The 17,014-nt window shown below is 44.9% G+C and overlaps 1 protein-coding gene and 1 non-coding gene across 9 annotated transcripts in view, besides 4 other annotated features; both read right to left on the reverse strand.

The window, feature by feature from the left end:
* The window catches only part of PRKAA1 (protein kinase AMP-activated catalytic subunit alpha 1), a 38,986-nt gene extending 30,657 nt beyond the window's left edge, over window positions 1–8,329 (reverse strand). For 5 of the 8 annotated variants that reach the window (NM_001355036.2, NM_001355029.2, NM_001355035.2 and 2 more), the window contains exon 1: window positions 8,018–8,132. Coding sequence is in view for 3 of the 8 variants with exons in the window: in NM_006251.6 (NP_006242.5) it covers window positions 8,018–8,144 (127 nt within the window). In the remaining 5 variants the exon portion in view is untranslated. Of the gene's footprint in view, window positions 1–8,017 lie in introns of all 8 variants that reach the window. The other 3 variants (NM_006251.6, NM_206907.4, NM_001355034.2) reach the window with 1 other exon arrangement.
* On the reverse strand, window positions 26–159 carry LOC124900202 (small nucleolar RNA SNORA57). Its single transcript, XR_007059151.1, has one exon. It is a non-coding gene; the product is annotated as a small nucleolar RNA SNORA57 (small nucleolar RNA).
* Window positions 7,659–7,868: a silencer, noted in NCBI's record as "silent region_15983". NCBI's record gives its function as "represses an Ori minimal core promoter by ATAC-STARR-seq in GM12878 lymphoblastoid cells {active_cell/tissue: GM12878}" and the evidence as "EXISTENCE:reporter gene assay evidence [ECO:0000049][PMID:35858748]".
* Window positions 8,149–8,488: a silencer, noted in NCBI's record as "silent region_15984". NCBI's record gives its function as "represses an Ori minimal core promoter by ATAC-STARR-seq in GM12878 lymphoblastoid cells {active_cell/tissue: GM12878}" and the evidence as "EXISTENCE:reporter gene assay evidence [ECO:0000049][PMID:35858748]".
* Window positions 11,036–11,857: an enhancer, noted in NCBI's record as "OCT4-NANOG-H3K27ac-H3K4me1 hESC enhancer chr5:40801183-40802004 (GRCh37/hg19 assembly coordinates)". NCBI's record gives its function as "activates a minimal SCP1, AML or CMV promoter by ChIP-STARR-seq in primed H9 embryonic stem cells {active_cell/tissue: H9 hESC(primed)}" and the evidence as "EXISTENCE:reporter gene assay evidence [ECO:0000049][PMID:30033119]".
* Window positions 11,863–12,355: a transcriptional cis regulatory region, noted in NCBI's record as "candidate enhancer chr5.1161 targeted for multiplex CRISPR interference". NCBI's record gives its function as "positively regulates PRKAA1 gene expression in K562 cells {active_cell/tissue: K562}" and the evidence as "EXISTENCE:mutant phenotype evidence [ECO:0000015][PMID:30612741]".

Below are 17,014 nucleotides of genomic sequence, written 5' to 3' on the forward strand. Positions count from 1 at the left end.
CAGTTCTGCCCTGCTCAGGAAAGTTCAGTATCCAGGTGACTGAGAACAGAACCGGCTGGCACCAAAGACATGATTTTGAGGGGGCCGGAGCCCTTTCCCTTTGCCTCCATACATAACAGGAGCAGGACCACACACTCAGTCCCTGACAAGAAAAGGAGGGTGGATTTTCTAAACTATGATATTCACCATTAAAATTAACAAGTTAACAGAAGTAATATTTTTTGAAAACAGGTTTTCTAATTGTACTACACATGATCATGACTTCTTAAATGGAACACATGTACATGAAGACTGGGAACCAAACAAATGTTAACTTATGAGTATCAACTGCTCCTTATACCCTCACACAGTGACAGCAGTGGGAGTTATTTAGCAGGATAGGGCTTTTTGCTCCCAGCCTATAGTGTTCCAGCTCGTGTGGTTTTCCGCTTTTTGAATTTGTATCCCAGCCTTCATAGTCTATCAGGAGTCAACTCTTTCTTTTTTTTTTTTTTTGTTGTTGTTGTTGTTGTTGAGATGGAGCCTCGCTCTGTCGCCAGGCTGGAGTGCAGTGGCACAATCTCGGCTCACTGCAACCTCTGCCTCCGGGGTTCAAGCAATTCTCCTGCCTCAGCCTCCCGAGTAGCTGGGACAACAGGCGCATGCCACCACACCCAGCTGATTTTTGTATTTTTAGTAGAGATGGGGTTTCACCATGTTGGCCAGGATGGTCTCAATATCTTGAGCTCGTGATCTGCCCGCCTTAGCCTCCCAAAAGTGCTGGGATTACAGGCGTGAGCCACCACACCCGGCCTTCAGTAGCATAATACTTTTTAAAATATGGCATCTAATAGCTTAGGAGACACTCACATTATCACATTTGAGCATAAACCTATGATGGAGGTATTGTCTTTTACAGATAAAGAAACTGAGGCTCTAAGAGATTCTGTAAGTTGTGGAAGTAAAGCTATTGTGATCAAGTTGGGACAGGTCTTCCGACTCCCAAGTCTTTTGACCTATCCACTCTCCCCACCATCACTGTGCAGTGAGAGGGACAAAGGGCTTGGCATGGTATCAGAAACTAAACTGTTTTCTCAAAACCAGGCTAAATATTCTCCCCAGTGAGTAAACTCAGTTGTAGCCAAACTAAATGCTGTTCCATAGTCAATCAATGAATGTAGTAAATGGACTCTGTCAGGCATATGCACTACTAAGGGATTCCCCCCTTTTTCAAAATTCAAACTTTATTCTTCAGACTGTCAGTTTTTAGAATAGTGCTAAGGTTTTGCTTTTAAATGAAACGGAAGACAGATATTTTGGCCACGGAAGACTTGCACATTACTCAGAGCAAATATTACCAGCATTCACAATGTCCCCCTCACAAGAATAGCAGATTAGTCAACTAAATATTAGCTAACAACCATGCTATTGCTATCTAAAGGGAACTTTGTCTAACTGCATAACATTGTAACAAATGCTCTTCTAATTAGATATATAATCCTGAAGGGAAACAAGATCATACTTTGAAACAGAGGATTTTAATAGGACAGAGAAGCAGCAAAGATAGAAATATCTACTAAAGATATTCTAGACACCTAACCATTTCATTCCCACTTTAAAATTGAAAGAATAAAAACGTGTTAAGGAAATAGCTTAATCCTGGGGAAGGGTGGGCTTTAAAAGCTATAGATCGTAATTTAAGAAAGCAAACAAACATTTCAAGCACACCAAGGGCATTCCAAATACCCATGAGCCACCATCAGCTTAAGCAATAAAACATTACAAATACAACTCAAGCCCTGCATGACTCCTCCCAGATTCCCTTATCCTTCATCTGTCCTCAGAAGTAACCACTATCCTGAATTTGGTGTTTGTGTTTCCCACGTTTAAATATTTTTACATGGGTAGGAATCCATAAAAAATATAGTAACATTATTTTTCATATTTATTTTTACAAATGTCATTGCATATATTTTGATAACACAATACCTGCACTATACACACAGTTCAAAAGTACAAAAGCATCTATGGTGCAACACAATGTCCTCCTTTACCTAGTCCCCTATACTGAGCAACTAACGTAACCAGTCTTGTGTGTATCTTTAAAGAGACATACTCTATATATAAAAGCAGTCACATTTAAGATACAGATTTGCCCCTGCCTTTTATACATAAGTGGTAGGCATATTGAACACACTGTTCTACTTTTTCCTCTTAAAAATACACCTTGGAAATTGTTCTCTAAAATATACAAAGTTCCTCCCTTTTTCTTCCTTAATGTTTGCAAGGTATTTCACTATATGGATAAACCATAACTATTACTATTAGAAAGGTTACTTCGAAAGTTTTGTATTAATATTTACAACAATATGGCAGCGAATAACCCATTATTTCATACACGAGTACATCTATAAAATAATTCCTAGAAGTTGAATTGTTAGGTTAATTTTAATAAATGCTGTCACTCTCTCATGTAGAGGTAGGATACCAATTTATACTCTACCAGCATTGTATGAGTGGTTCTGTAGGTTTCTAAAATTTATATAAATAACAGCAAACTATACATATTCTTATACAACTTGCTTTCGAGGTCTAACCTTATATTTTTAAGATTCATTCACACTGATATATATAGCTCTAGTTCATGTTTATAATTTTTACTTAAAGGAATTTTTAAATAACTTCTACTATGATTCATTCACAAAGTACCTATGTAGCTGAAATTGCAGTTTTACACAGAAATACTTACGAACTTAGGCCAAGCATGGTGGCTCATGCCTGTAATCCCAGCACTGTGGGAGGCTGAGGTGGGTGGATCACCTGAGGTCAGGAGTTCGAGACTAACCTGGCCGACGTGGTGAAACCCCATCTCTACTAAAAATACAAAAAAAAAATAGCTGGGCGTAGTGGTGGGCGCCTATAATCCCAGCCACTTGGGAGGCTGAGGCTGGAGAATCGCTTGAACCCGGGAGGTGGAAGTTGCAGTGAGCTGAGATCGCACCATTGCACTCCAGCCTGGGCGACAAGAGTGGAACTCCATCTCAAAAAAAAAAAAAGAAAAAGAAAAAAAAGAAATACTTGCCAACTTAATAGTTTATATGTATAAATAACTCATTTGCCGAAGATACACCCAGCCTACCAAAGAGACCATCTTCTCTAGAAAAACTAACAAAGACTGCCATTTTAATGATATTACTCTGCTCATCCATGCTTTTTTTGGGCAGAGGGAAGGCCCACAAGGGCACAGAACCTAACATCTTGATAACTAGAAGGAAAAAAAAAAGATGCCTTGGAAACAATAAAGACAATTCAAGCATAATCACAAAATAACCCTAGTTTTCTGTAAACTTTCCTCTCAAAATGCTACCACTAAGTAACCAAACAAATTTTTTGGCCTGTAACAGGAAACAATCACTCCGAACTTCCAGCCTACTCTCCCCGCAAAATTAAATTTCCTATAAGCATGGAATATCATACTTAGACTTTTTCTGCATATCAATATCATATATTTTATTAGATCCCTCTTCATGTTAAATTTACCAATATGTATAAGTAATTTTTAAAGCTTTCTTTACTCCAAATTGTCTAAACATATGGTTAACCCTATTATTTGCAAGAATTCTTGCATAATTAAGGCTGTTGGTGTTTAATTACCAACATCACCACAATAGTGGCCATTTCTGTGTGTTCACTGAGTATCCATGTCCCCCTTTCTCTCTCCTAACAACATCCATTTATGTGTAGGTGTCTACCCTGTCCCCCCACACTATCCAAGTACTTAGAAGATGTCTCCCAGCCCAGCACGGTGGTTCAGGCCTGTAATCCCAGCACTTTGGGAGGCCGAGGCGGGTGGGATCACCTGAGGTCAGGAGTTCAAGACCAGCCTGGCCAACATGATGAAACCCCATCTCTACTAAAAATACAAAAATTAGCAGGACGTGGTGGCACACGTCTGTAATCCCAGCTACTAGGGAAGTTGAGGCAGAAGAATCACTTGAACCTGGGAGGCAGAGGTTGCAATGAGCTGAGATTGCGCCAATGCACTCCAGCCTGGGTGACAAGAGCAAAACTGTCTCCAAAAAAAAAAAAAAGTGTTCCCTGTTCACCACATGCACACTAAAATCTATCTACTGCTTTTTGATTTTTTGATGATGGCCATTCTTGCAGGAGTGAGGTGGTATCACATTGTGGTTCTGATTTGCATTTCCCTGATCATTAGGGATGCTGAGCATTTTTTCATGTTTGCTGGCCATTTGTATATCTTCTTTTGAGAACTGTCTATTCATATCCTTAGCCCACTTTTTGATGGGACTATTTGTTTTTTCTTACTTATTTGTTTGAGTTCATTGTGGATTCTGGATATTAGTACTTTTTCAGATGTATTGATTAGGAAGATTTTCTCCCACTGTGTGGGTTGTCTGTTTACTCTGCTGTTCCTTTTCCTGTGCAAAAGCTCTTCAATTTAATTAGGTCCCATCTATTTATCTTTGTTTTTATTGCATTTGCTTTTGGGTTCTTAGTCATTAAATCCTTGCCTAAGCCAATGTCTAGAAGGGTTTTTCCAATGTTATCTTCTAGAATTTTTATAGTTTCAGGTCTTAGGTTTAAGTCCTTAATCCATCTTGAGTTGATTTTTATATAAGGTTGAGAGATGAGAATCCAGTTTCATTCTCCTACATGTGGCTGGCCAATTATCCCAGCACAATTTGTTGAAAAGGGTGAACAGGGAACACTTCTACACTGCTGGTGGGAATGTAAACTAGCACAGCTGCTATGGAAAACAGTGTAGATATTCCTTAAAGAACTAAAAGTAGAACTACCATTTGATCCAGCAATCTCTTCTGAAAAGAAGTCATTATTCGAAAAAGATACTTGCACATGCATGTTTATAGCAGCACAATTCACAATTGCAAAATCGTGGAACCAATCCAAATGCCCATCACTCAATGTATGGATAAAGAAACTGTGGTGTATACATATATATACACACACACACACACACACACACACAAAATGGAATACTACACAGCCATAAAAAGGAATGAATTAACAGCATTTGCAGTGACTTGGATAAGAGTGGAGACTATTATTCTAAGTGAAGTAACTCAGGAATGGAAAACCAACACAGTATGTTCTAATCACTGATATGTGGGAGCTAAGCTATGAGGACGCAAAGGCATAAGAATGATACAGTGGACTATGGGGACTTGAGGGGGAAGAGTGGGAGAGGGGTGAGGGATAAAAGACTACAAATATGATGCAATGTATACTGCTCAGGTGATGGGTGCACCAAAATCTCACAAATCACCACTAAAGAATTTACTCATGCAACCAAATACCATCTGTACCCCAATAACTTAAAGAAAAATTTAAAAAATAAAACAAATTTTAAAAAAAAGATGTCTCCCACCCACCCACCTCTGTTGCACACACACATCAAAGGGTGGGTCATACTCCTCCAAGGGCAATGCCATCCCCCTTGCTAATGCCTGCTTAGGAATACAAGCATAAGCCAACTGGCACATGGCATTCCTAGCCAGAGGGACTGGATGAGCCAATGAGACTCATAAGAGATATGCTGGCCTTCCCTGCTGGAAGGACTTATCTGTGGAAAGAGAACCACAGATAAGTTCTTTACTAGGCAAAGCTAGATTTTCTATTACTTGTGGCAAAAAGCATCCCAACTGTTAACTTAAAAAATGAACAGGTTAAAGATTCTGATCAACATCAACAAATGTGATCATGAACAAATTTAACCATATCTATGAAACCTATGATCCTTGGACTAATATTGGCCTTTGTACATTTGGAGAGTTTGTTGACTTTAACAGAATATGGTACTCCAAGAGAAGTTAGTGTGGGTGGGGAAGTGAAGGTTAAGAAACAGCAAAGTCACTGGAGACATTCGTGTCACAGCCATATCACAGATCAAATCCAGAAGATGAAAAATCTCTTCCTGCTTTACTACCTGCCATGCCAAAAACCACTTAGCAAATACGAAAACAGACCTGGCCGGGCACAGTGGCTCACGCCTGTAATCCCAGCACTTTGGGAGGCTGAGGTGGGTAGATCACCTGAGGTCAGGAGTTCGAGACCAGCCGGGCCAACATGGTGAAACCCCATCTCTACTAAAAATATGAAATTAGCCGGGTGTGGTGGTGGGCGCCTGTAATTCCAGCTACTCAGGAGGCTGAGGCAGGAGAACTGCTTGAACCCAGGAAGCGGAGGTTGCAATGAGCCAAGATCACACCACACGGCACTCCAGCCTGGGCAACAGAGCAAGACCCCATCTCGGGAAAAGAAAAAAGAAAAAAGAAAAAAAAATAGACCTGACTTTATTCAAGCATTCAAGTCTATATTAGGGGAATGATGAACACCCTAATCCAGGCAGAACTCTGGGAAGGGATGGGGGCAAAAATGAACATTTTTTTTTTTACAAACACTTGTAAACTAAAAAGCAGTTTGTAATTGCTAACAAGAAATATCATAGCCAAAGATAAAGTTAAAACTTCCATGGCACAGAAACATCTTACTGGCCTTATATGGACCTGTCCTAATAGCTGTTATTACCCAATTCTGGCATTTGCTTCTTACTTCCTCCTGACATTGTCCGCCTTGCAGATTTTCATAAGAAGGTTCAGGCAGTTGCTTCCCTGTGGGATATACAACAATTTTCCAATTCTATGACTCAGAAAATGGCAAGAGAAGGAAGCGTTCTTCTCTTCTAACCCTAAATAAAATCAGAAACTGTTTATTTAGCTCTGGAAGAGTAAGGCTCAGTTGAGTTACCGTACAGACTTTGGCAAACTTTTTTTCTTTCAAGTCAAATATTTACCAAGAACTTAGTATATGCAAGTCAGTCTATTATTTATCCAAAGCCAATGCATGAATTATTTTTATCAGTTCCAAACTTCCTTTCTCTGCATCCCTTATAACAAAGTCAAATATGTTAAAGAAAAAAAAAATCATGCCTTACAAAACTTGCAATTAAACGTTTTTTTGCCAGAATTGGTGGACTGTAGAGCAAGTTTATTTCCAGAATAGTGTTTTGAAAGAGTCCACACTTTTCTTTTAATTTCAATAGCTTTAGGGGTACAAGTGGCTTTTGGTTACATAGATGAACTGCATAGTGGTGAAGTCTGGGCTTTTAGTGTACCCGTCACCCGAATGCTGTACAATGCACCCAATACACCTTTCTTAAAACAAAAGTTCGAATGATGTGCACTTAAAGAGTTTATTAGAATACAAATAACCTTTGAAAATAAGTGGAAATGAACTGTACTAATAAAGTAATAAATACTATCTGGAGGCAACATCTGAACTAACAACGAAGTTTCGCACGGAGAAACTCCTGTTAATTCGGAAACACTAAAGGCACAGTCTCATTCAGAACGTAAACCATGCATCGCAAATACTGAACCAGTTTATACTCATTAACTGCTCCGAAGGAAACCAGTGATCCTTTCCGACGACATGGTCTTTAAAAAAAATGATGTCGGCTACCCACAAAGAAACCTTACTTCTGCGGAAACACATTTCGCACTCGGGAAACAGCAGGGGCCGGTAAATCGACAGCCTCCTACAGAGGACGGAAATACCGACAACGCCAAGGACCGCCAAGGAAGCGATGGGCTGGCCCTGAGCCAAGGGAGCACAACCCGGGCGCACAAGATGCCGCCTCCCCGGGGATCGCGCCCGGCGCCCCCTCCCAGCACCCAGAGCGCGCCGCGCCGCCCGCCTGCCCCACCTGGGAAAGTTTGCACCTTCGCATCCCAGCCCCTCGTACCTACCAGCCCCTCAGGCCGCGGCGCCGTCGCCATGGCGACTGGCCCCTACCCCACCCCCACCCCCACCCGGCCTGTGCTGGCCGCGCCGCAGCCCCGCGGCGGCTGGGGAGAGCTCCCGCAGGATCCGGGACAGGGGCTGCCCAGCCCTGGAAAGAAGGGACGCAGCGGGCGGGGGAGGATGAAGAGGTGCGGAAAGCGGAAGTCGTGCGGCTCCTCAGCTGGGGCCAAGCCTAGTCCCGCGGGGTTCTCACCCTTCACTTTGCCGAAGGTGCCGACCCCCAGCGTGTCACCCAGAATGTAGTGGCCGATCTTCACCCGCCCGTCGTGTTTCTGCTTCTCGGCTGTCGCCATCTTTCTCCAGGAACTGAGTCTGCGCATGGCGCTGCGGGAGGGGGCGGAGGGGGCGGGCAGGGCCGCGCCGGGGGCGGGCGGGGAGGGGGTGGGGACGCGGGAGGGCAGCCACCGAGCCGAGTCACCGCCCTGCGCCGCCAGCCCAGGCCCCGCAGCCTACGTCGGGCGCAGACGCTCCCCCTGGCGGGGCGGGCGGGGGCTGCCAGGAGAATCACCAGTACCCGCCTCCTCGCCCCGCATCCTCGGGCCTGAGCGCCCGCCCACCGGCACGCGGAGGGGCTTCCTGGAACGATTAGGCGGACCGTCGCCCCCAGGCTCCTTTCTCCCCTGGCGGAGTTTCTGCCCGCTGCGATCTTCCCTAACTACCACTCTGCGGTCGCAGAAGACCATCCAGAGGGGAGATGAGGACTGGGAAGCCCGCTTGAGTGATGCACATCTGTGGCTTGTTACGAGAGCCGCGTGAATTAAAGCAAGGCAGGGGACACCGCCCTGCCACTGCTTTCTAACCTTGATTTTCATCTTTCCTTCTCGGATGGAATCTAGAAGCCGCAGGAGTTTTCACTTGCGTCTGTGATGGAGTTTCCCGCTCCCCGCCCCCCCGCACCAACCCGAGCTCTTTTTTCGCTTGGAGCCCGTAAGTTGCTAGAGGGCACCACGATGGCTCTAGGAGCGCTGTCGGTGTTTTCTTCTGGAGGTGATCCTGAAATTTCCTCCCCAAAGCAAGCTCTGTTGCGAGGAGCAGGCTGGGGATATGTGCAAGTGAATGTGTATTCCAAGAGGGGGATGATACGCAGATCTTTTGGTGTATAGGAATTAATACTTTTAGATTATCAGTAAAATGTATACTTTCACTGGACTGAGAGAGAACAAGGCTTACGGTTACATCAACCGGATCAACAAATATTTATTGTACTTGTAATGAGTAATACTTAGTCTATTATATAAACATAAATGGAACCATACCATAGCATAAAGTCTGTTTATTTTTCATAAAATGTTTGAGTTTGTTACTCAATTCCACTCCTCTGATTAGTAGTCAAAATCAAGTGTTCTGTTTTAAAAAGTTTATATTCTCTCAATTTTGGAATGTCATAGCATTGGGCCAGTGTCAATGGCCCAAAAAAACAAAATTTACCTTCATGAAAAGAGTATAAAAAAAGAAAAAAACTAAAAATGTCATTTTTAATCCCACAAAAATCAATTACCCAACTCTCCTGATTTTCTCCTCTCTGTTTCTGAAATCAAAGTAACATGCATTAGGCACTGTTTTGTTCCGAGGAAGATATTGCAGGAGAAGCAAAAGTTTCTGCCTTTGAGCTTAGAATTACACCAGATAAGCAGGGAACAGTTCCAGCTAGCCTTAATCAAGTTCCTACTGTATTGAGGACTGCACATTGTTTGAAGGGCAAAAAGTTAAGAAATCTTTGATTACTGATGTATTTGGGGGGCAGGTGGTGTAGTGGTTACTGTTTTAACTTTTGGTGTCTGGCTTTTTCACTTTTATCTGTTTGACTTTTGAGTTTCTACACAAGGCATCTCTGTAAAGCAGAATTTTTGGATTTTGGATCTCTGTAAAACAGAAATAGCTCTCTGGATTCCCGTGTGGGGCAGGGAACCTTAAACTCCCTCCCCTCCCCAAATAGCACCTTAAATTACTTTAAGTTTTTATTATATCTAGAATTTAACCCAGGAAAGTTCTGCCATTTCTTCTAACCTGAAAGAAAAAGATCTGACAACATCTCTTCCCAGGCCCAAGGGTGGGAGAGTGCCCATAGGGGGAAAAAAAAAGGAAAAGATAGCAAAGTACCTCAGCTGTGTACCACTCACTGAGCATGCTGCAAGGAACAAACTGAAGCTGAGTTTTGCAAATCCATTTGCCAGTCTCTTCGTGAAACTATGAAAACTCAAGAAAGTAACATAACCTTTTTTTTTAGTAGAAACATCAGTTTGTTTCTGCTTTGTGCTGTTGTAGATTATAATTCTATTTAATAAATAGTCATTAAATGGCATTTACACTTAAAAGCATTGTTGGGGAGATAAAACCTAGAATTATAGATCAAAAAATTGGATAGAAACTTAGACATCATCTTATCCAGTTTCCCATAGTCTCTGTTTAAAGCAGCTTTAATTGCTCAGTGTTTTAATTTTGGTTTTGTTTCTTTTCCATTCATGTTGAGTTAAAAACCGAATCCAATTCACTGTTTGTAAGACTACTGTCTTGCCCCCCGCCCGGCCGGCCGCCACGTCCGGGAGGTGAGGGGCGCCTCTGCCCGGCCGCCCCTACTGGGAAGTGAGGACCCCTCTGCCCGGCCAGCCGCCCCGTCCGGGAGGGAGGTGGGGGGGTCAGCCCCCCGCCCGGCCAGCCGCCCCATCCGGGAGGGAGGTGGGGGGGTCAGCCCCCGCCCGGCCAGCCGCCCCGTCCGGGAGGGAGGTGGGGGGGGTCAGCCCCCGCCCGGCCAGCCGCCCCGTCTGGGAGGGAGGTGGGGGGATCAGCCCCCCGCCTGGCCAGCCGCCCCGTCCGGGAGGTGAGGGGCGCCTCTGCCCGGCCGCCCCTACTGGGAAGTGAGGACCCCTCTGCCCGGCCAGCCGCCCCGTCCGGGAGGGAGGTGGGGGGGTCAGCCCCCCGCCCGGCCAGCCGCCCTATCCAGGAGATGAGGGGCGCCTCTGCCCGGCCGCCCCTACTGGGAAGTGAGGAGCCCCTCTGCCCGGCCAGCCGCCCCGTCTGGGAGGGTGGTGGGGGGGTCAGCCCCCCGCCCGGCCAGCCGCCCTATCCAGGAGGTGAGGGGCGCCTCTGCCCGGCCGCCCCTACTGGGAAGTGAGGAGCCCCTCTGCTCGGCCAGCCGCCCAGTCCGGGAGGGAGGTGGGGGGGTCAGCCCCCCGCCCGGCCAGCCGCCCTATCCAGGAGGTGAGGGGCGCCTCTGCCCGGCCGCCCCTACTGGGAAGTGAGGAGCCCCTCTGCCCGGCCAGCCGCCCCGTCTGGGAGGGTGGTGGGGGGGTCAGCCCCCCGCCCGGCCAGCCGCCCCATCCGGGAGGTGAGGGGCGCTTCTGCCCGGCCGCCCCTACTGGGAAGTGAGGAGCCCCTCTGCCCGGCCACGACCCCGTCTGGGAGGTGTGCCCAGCGGCTCATTGGGGATGGGCCATGATGACAATGGCGGTTTTGTGGAATAGAAAGGCGGGAAGGGTGGGGAAAAAATTGAGAAATCGGATGGTTGCCGGGTCTGTGTGGATAGAAGTAGACATGGGAGACTTTTCATTTTGTTCTGTACTAAGAAAAATTCTTCTGCCTTGGGATCCTGTTGATCTGTGACCTTATCCCCAACCCTGTGCTCTCTGAAACATGTGCTGTGTCCACTCAGGGTTAAATGGATTAAGGGCGGTGCAAGATGTGCTTTGTTAAACAGATGCTTGAAGGCAGCATGCTCGTTAAGAGTCATCACCACTCCCTAATCTTAAGTACCCAGGGACACAAACACTGCGGAAGGCCGCAGGGTCCTCTGCCTAGGAAAACCAGAGACCTTTGTTCACTTGTTTATCTGCTGACCTTCCCTCCGCTATTGTCCTATGACCCTGCCAAATCCCCCTCTGCGAGAAACACCCAAGAATGATCAATAAAAAAAAAATAAAAAATAAAAAAAAAATTAAAAAAAAAAAAAAAGACTACTGTCTTAAGAAGCCTCCTGTATTCCTTTGCTTTTTCTCTTAATTACCTTTTTAAATTTTTTGTCACATTTTCTTCCACCCTGTCTTCCTTTCATTCTCCCATTGATCTATCCCCAAATGTTCACTTCCTTCATTCTTCAAGCTTTTGTTAACTGCCAGACGCTATAGAAAATTACATTTTTCTAAAAAATGAAAAGTCATAGTCCCTACCTTGAAAGAGCTCATGGTCTACAGTAGCAGTCCTCTATATTCCACCATCCCCCACCCATCCAGGAGAGATAATATTTACATACTCACCATTCTACCAGGGGGAAGCAAAGATAAGGTAGACCCTGGCTTACTCCCAGTTTCCTGACCTATCTGTTGTAACTCTACCCCATCTCAGTAAAATGTATTGGAATATAAGTGGGCAGGAGTTACATTAGAGAAGTAACTTTTTTTTTTTAAACAGGCGTTTATTCTGTTGCCCAGGCTAGAGTGCAGTGGTTAGATCACAGCTCACTGTAACCTCAAACTCTTGGACTCAAGCATTCCTCCTACTTCAGCCTCGAGAGAGTAGCTAGGACTAACGGTACGCACCACCACGCCCGACTATTTTTATTTCATTTGTTGTAGAGATGGGGATCTCCCTATATTAAAGAGGCCAGTCTAGAACCCCTGGCCTCAAGCGATCCTCCCACCACAGACTCCCAAAGTGCTAGGACTGCAGGCATGAGCCACCAAGCCTGGCCTATAGAAGTAACTTGACTCCTTTCTAGTTTAAGTGGGGGAAAAGCAGACCGGGCACAGTGGCTCACATTTGTAATCCCAGCACTTTGGGAGGCCAAGGCGGGCAGATCGCCTGAGATCAAGAGTTCGAGACCAGCCTGACCAACATGGAGAAACCCCACCTCTACTAAAAATACAAAATTAGCTGGGTGTCGTGGTGTGTGCCTGTAACCCCAGCTTTTCAGGAGGCTGAGACAGGAGAATCATTTGAACCCCGGAGGCAGAGGTTGCAGTGAGCTGAGATCGTGCCATTGCACTCCAGCCTGGGCAACAAGATTGAAACTCCATCTCAAAAAAAAAAAAGTAGGGAAAAAGTAAATTGTTTGCAAACTTAAGCACTGTAGCTTTTATCAGTACAAATAAATTACAGTACATCTCAGCACTGATGAAGACATACGAACATTGTGGTGGAGAATGTCCAGCCTCATGGAGGAGCTGTGTGGTTAGCAGTTAGCGGCTTCCTCTCTAGCCCTTTAGACATTGTAAGGGAGCAGATGCCTCCTCGGAGGTCATTACAGCATTACAGCATTACTAGACTCTACACTGCCAGGTGGATATTAAACTTCTCCAGTGACTATCTCTAAATATGGTGGCTGGAACTAAAACTTCTGAGTACTACACCACTATTAATGCAGCCTAATATTTCCTTGGCTTACTTGTAGCTACATTGTAACTAATATTTTAGTTTTGTTAAACAAACACTATGTACTGGGCAGTTTGCTAGATCCTAGGGACTCAAAAAACAAAGGAACATGGCTCTGCCTTCTAATAGGAGACAAAGCAATGTTATAGGTGCTATAATAAAAACACAAGTCTAGGCAATGTAGTAAGATTCTGTCTTTACAAAAAAAAAATATTCAGAATTAGCTGAGTCTGGTGGTGCACACCTACAGTCATAGATACTTTGGAGGCTGAGGTGTGAGGATCAGTTGAGCTCAGGAGGTAGAGGCTGCAGTGAGCTATGATTATGCCACTGTACTCCAGCCTGGGTGACAGAGCAAGACCCTATCTCTTAAAAAATGAATAAAAATAAAAACATATATGGTGCTAAAGTCCGTTATGAGAGGTCAGGATAACCTTTACCTGTGGAGGTCTGCCAAAGCTTTAACTTGAATCTGTTTATGGAGAAGTATTAAGAGATGATGTTTTCTACACACAAAAAAAGGGAGGCCACCCAGGCACAGTGGCTCACGCCTGTAATCCCAGCACTTTGGGAGGCTGAGGCAGGAGGATCACTTGAGCTCAGGAGTTTGAGACCAGCCTGGGCAACATTGTGAGACCTCATCTCTACAAAAAATACAAAAAATCAGCCAGGCGTGGTGGTGCTTGCCTGAAGTCCCAGCTACTCAGGAGGCTGAGGTGGGAGAATCATCTGAGCCTAGGAGGTCAAGGCTGCGTGTGTCATGTTCATGCCACTGCACTCCAGGCTGAGTGACAAAGTGAGACCCTGTCTCAAAGATATAAAAATAAAAAAGTAAAGAAGGCCGGGTGCAGTGGCTCATGCCTGTAATCCTAACACTTTGGGAGGCCGAAGCGGGCGGATTGCCTGAGTTCAGGAGTTCGAGACCAGCCTGGGCAACATGGTAAAACCCTGTCTTTACTAAAATACAAAAAATTAGCCAGGCATGGCGGTGTGTACCTGTAATCCCACTACTCGGGAGGCTGAGACAGGAGAATCGCTTGCACCTGGAAGGCAAATGTTGCAGTGAGCCAAGATTGCACCACCGCACTCCAGCCTGGGTGAGAGAGCGAGACTCCATCTCAAAAAAAAAAAAAAGTAAAGGGAGAAACAGGTGGCATGGGGGATGGAGGGAACTTGGGGAAGGCATTCCAGGTAGGAAAAAGAGCAGATATAAAATCACAGAGGGGGCCGGGCACGGCAGCTCATGCCTGTAATCCCAGCACTTTGGGAGGTGAGGTGGGCGGATCACCAAATGTCAGGAGTTCGAGACCAGCCTAGCCAACATGGTGAAACCTCGTCTCTACTAAAAATAAAAAAATTAGCTGGGCATGGTGTTGGGCGCCTGTAATACCAGCTACTAGGGGGGCTGAGGCAGGAGAATCACTTGAACCCGGGAGGCGGAGGTTGCAGTGAGCCGAGATCGCGCCACTGCACTTCAGCCTGGATGGCAGAGCGAGACTCCATCTCAAAAAAAAAAAAAAGAAAATCAGAGGGAAGTAGGCTGTTTAGGGAAGAGCTAATTGTTACAGGGGCTGGAATCTGACGTACAGAGGGACTTGTTAGAAGAAATGAGAGGTAAACCCACTAAAGTTAAATAGACGAAATCCTGAAATGCCTCATGTGCTTCTCAGTTTGGACATTATCTTGTAGAGTGATAAGTCATGGAAAGATGTGCAGTAGATGCAATTTAGAAATAAATTATTTTCTCCAAAATTGGTAGCTGTGGGTATATTTGGGAAGAGAAATTAGGTGACTAAGAGTCAGGGGCAAGGGGCAGACTTTTCTCTGTTTACCCTTTGTAAATTTCAATTTAGAGCCTTATGCATATGTTACAGAATCAAAAAAGTTAACTTTTAGAAAAATTTCTAAAAACTCTGACTTTATTTTGGAGGATATAGATTAGAGAAGAGCAAGACCAAAGTGGTAAATTAGGAAACTTGCAATCACCTAATGAAGAAATGAGGCAGCCACCACGTACGAAAAGGAAAAACTCAAGATCTATTCATAAAGTGGAATTAGAAAGGAAGGAATGGAGTGATGTGCATAGAGAGGGAAAGGAAGGAATCTTTTTTTTTTTTTTTTTGAGACGAAGTCTCACTCTGTTGCCCAGGATGGAGTCCAGTGACACAATCTCTGCTCACTGCAATCTCCGCCTCCCAGGTACACGAGATTCTCCTGCCTCAGCCTCCCGAGTACCTGGGATTACAGGCGCCTGCCACCACACCCAGCTAATTTTTTGTATTTTTAGTAGAGATGGGGTTTCACTGTGTTAGCCAGGATGGTCTCAAACTCCTGACCTTGTGATCCGCCTGCCACGGCCTCCCAAAGTGCTAGGATTACAGGCATGAGCCACCGTGCCCGTCCAGGAAGGAATCTTAATTACCTCCCAGGATTCTGGTAGGATTTTAGAGGAATGGATGTTCAACTGAAATTATGAATATTTGTAACATTAAGACATCAAAGAGGCCAGGTGTGGTGGCTCACGCCTGTAATCCCAGCACTTTGGGAGGGCAAGGCGGGCGGATCACAAGGTCAGGAGATCAAGACCATCCTGGCTAACACGGTGAAACCCCATCTCTACAAAAAATACAAAAAATTAGCCAGGCGTGGTGGCACGCACCTGTAGTCCCAGCTGCTCGGGAAGCTGAGGTAGGAGAATCGCTTGAACCCGGGAGGTGGAGGTTTCAGTGAGCCGAGATTGTGCCACTGCACTCCAGCCTGGGTGACAGAGCGAGACTCCAACTCAAAAAAAAAAAACAAAAAACAAAAAACATCAAAGAGACTTTCAGGTAAAGAGGTAAAGATATCCATGATGATACTGGTCATGCAGGTCTATAACTCCAAAGATAAGTCAGTCTAATGGTTAACAATGTATTGTATATTTCAAAATAGCTTAAAGAGATCATCTGAAATGTTTACAATACATAGAAATAATAAATACTCAAAATGCTAGATATCCTAAATACCCTGAGTTGATCGTTACATATTCTATGCATGCAACAAAACATCACATGTATCCCATAAATATGTGGAAATATTATATATCAATAAAATACTTATTAATTTATTTTAAAAATCAGCCCAGTGTTATAGATTGTTTGTCATCACCGAACAAATGGCAGGTGAAGTAGAGCAATGAATATGGATGTGGTCTCTCCACTTTATAAAGGGATCCAAGGGCAAAGCACTTACTTAGAAAACATGGATAATTAAAGGATCCTGAAGCAATACAAACCTGTGGAAGAGACAGAACAGCAGTCCATTTATATTAGAAGCTCCCCAATAAGTTACAGTGATTAAAATTAGCTTGTAGAAAATTGTCTCCCCTTACCTATGATAGATGATTTCTAGCTCCTGGTTTAGAAAGAGACAAGCTTTTTCTTTGTCACCCAGGCTGCAGTGCAGTGGGTGTGATCATGGCTCACTGCAGCCTCAGCCTCGGGACTCAAGGGATCCTCTCATGTCAGCCTCCTGAGTAGCTGGGACCACAGGCATGTGCCACCATGCCCAGCTCATTTCTTAAATTTTTTGTAGAGATGGGGTCTCACTATGTTCCCCGGGCTGGTCTTCAACTCCTGGGCTAAAGGAATTCTGCCTCAGCTTCTTAAAGTGCTGGGATACAGGTGTGAGCCACCGCACTGGGCCTTGAAATTATTTTAGGCTAAGATATTTGCAACCCCTTCATAGTGATGAATTTTAAGCTCAGTTGCCCTTGTAGAACAGGCCCAGACCTATTTTTTGTTTTTGGTTTTTTGTTTGAGACGGAGTCTTGCTCTGTCGCCCAGGC

Source organism: Homo sapiens, chromosome 5 (genome assembly GCF_000001405.40).
Source record: "Homo sapiens chromosome 5, GRCh38.p14 Primary Assembly".
Classification (NCBI taxonomy): domain Eukaryota; kingdom Metazoa; phylum Chordata; class Mammalia; order Primates; family Hominidae; genus Homo; species Homo sapiens.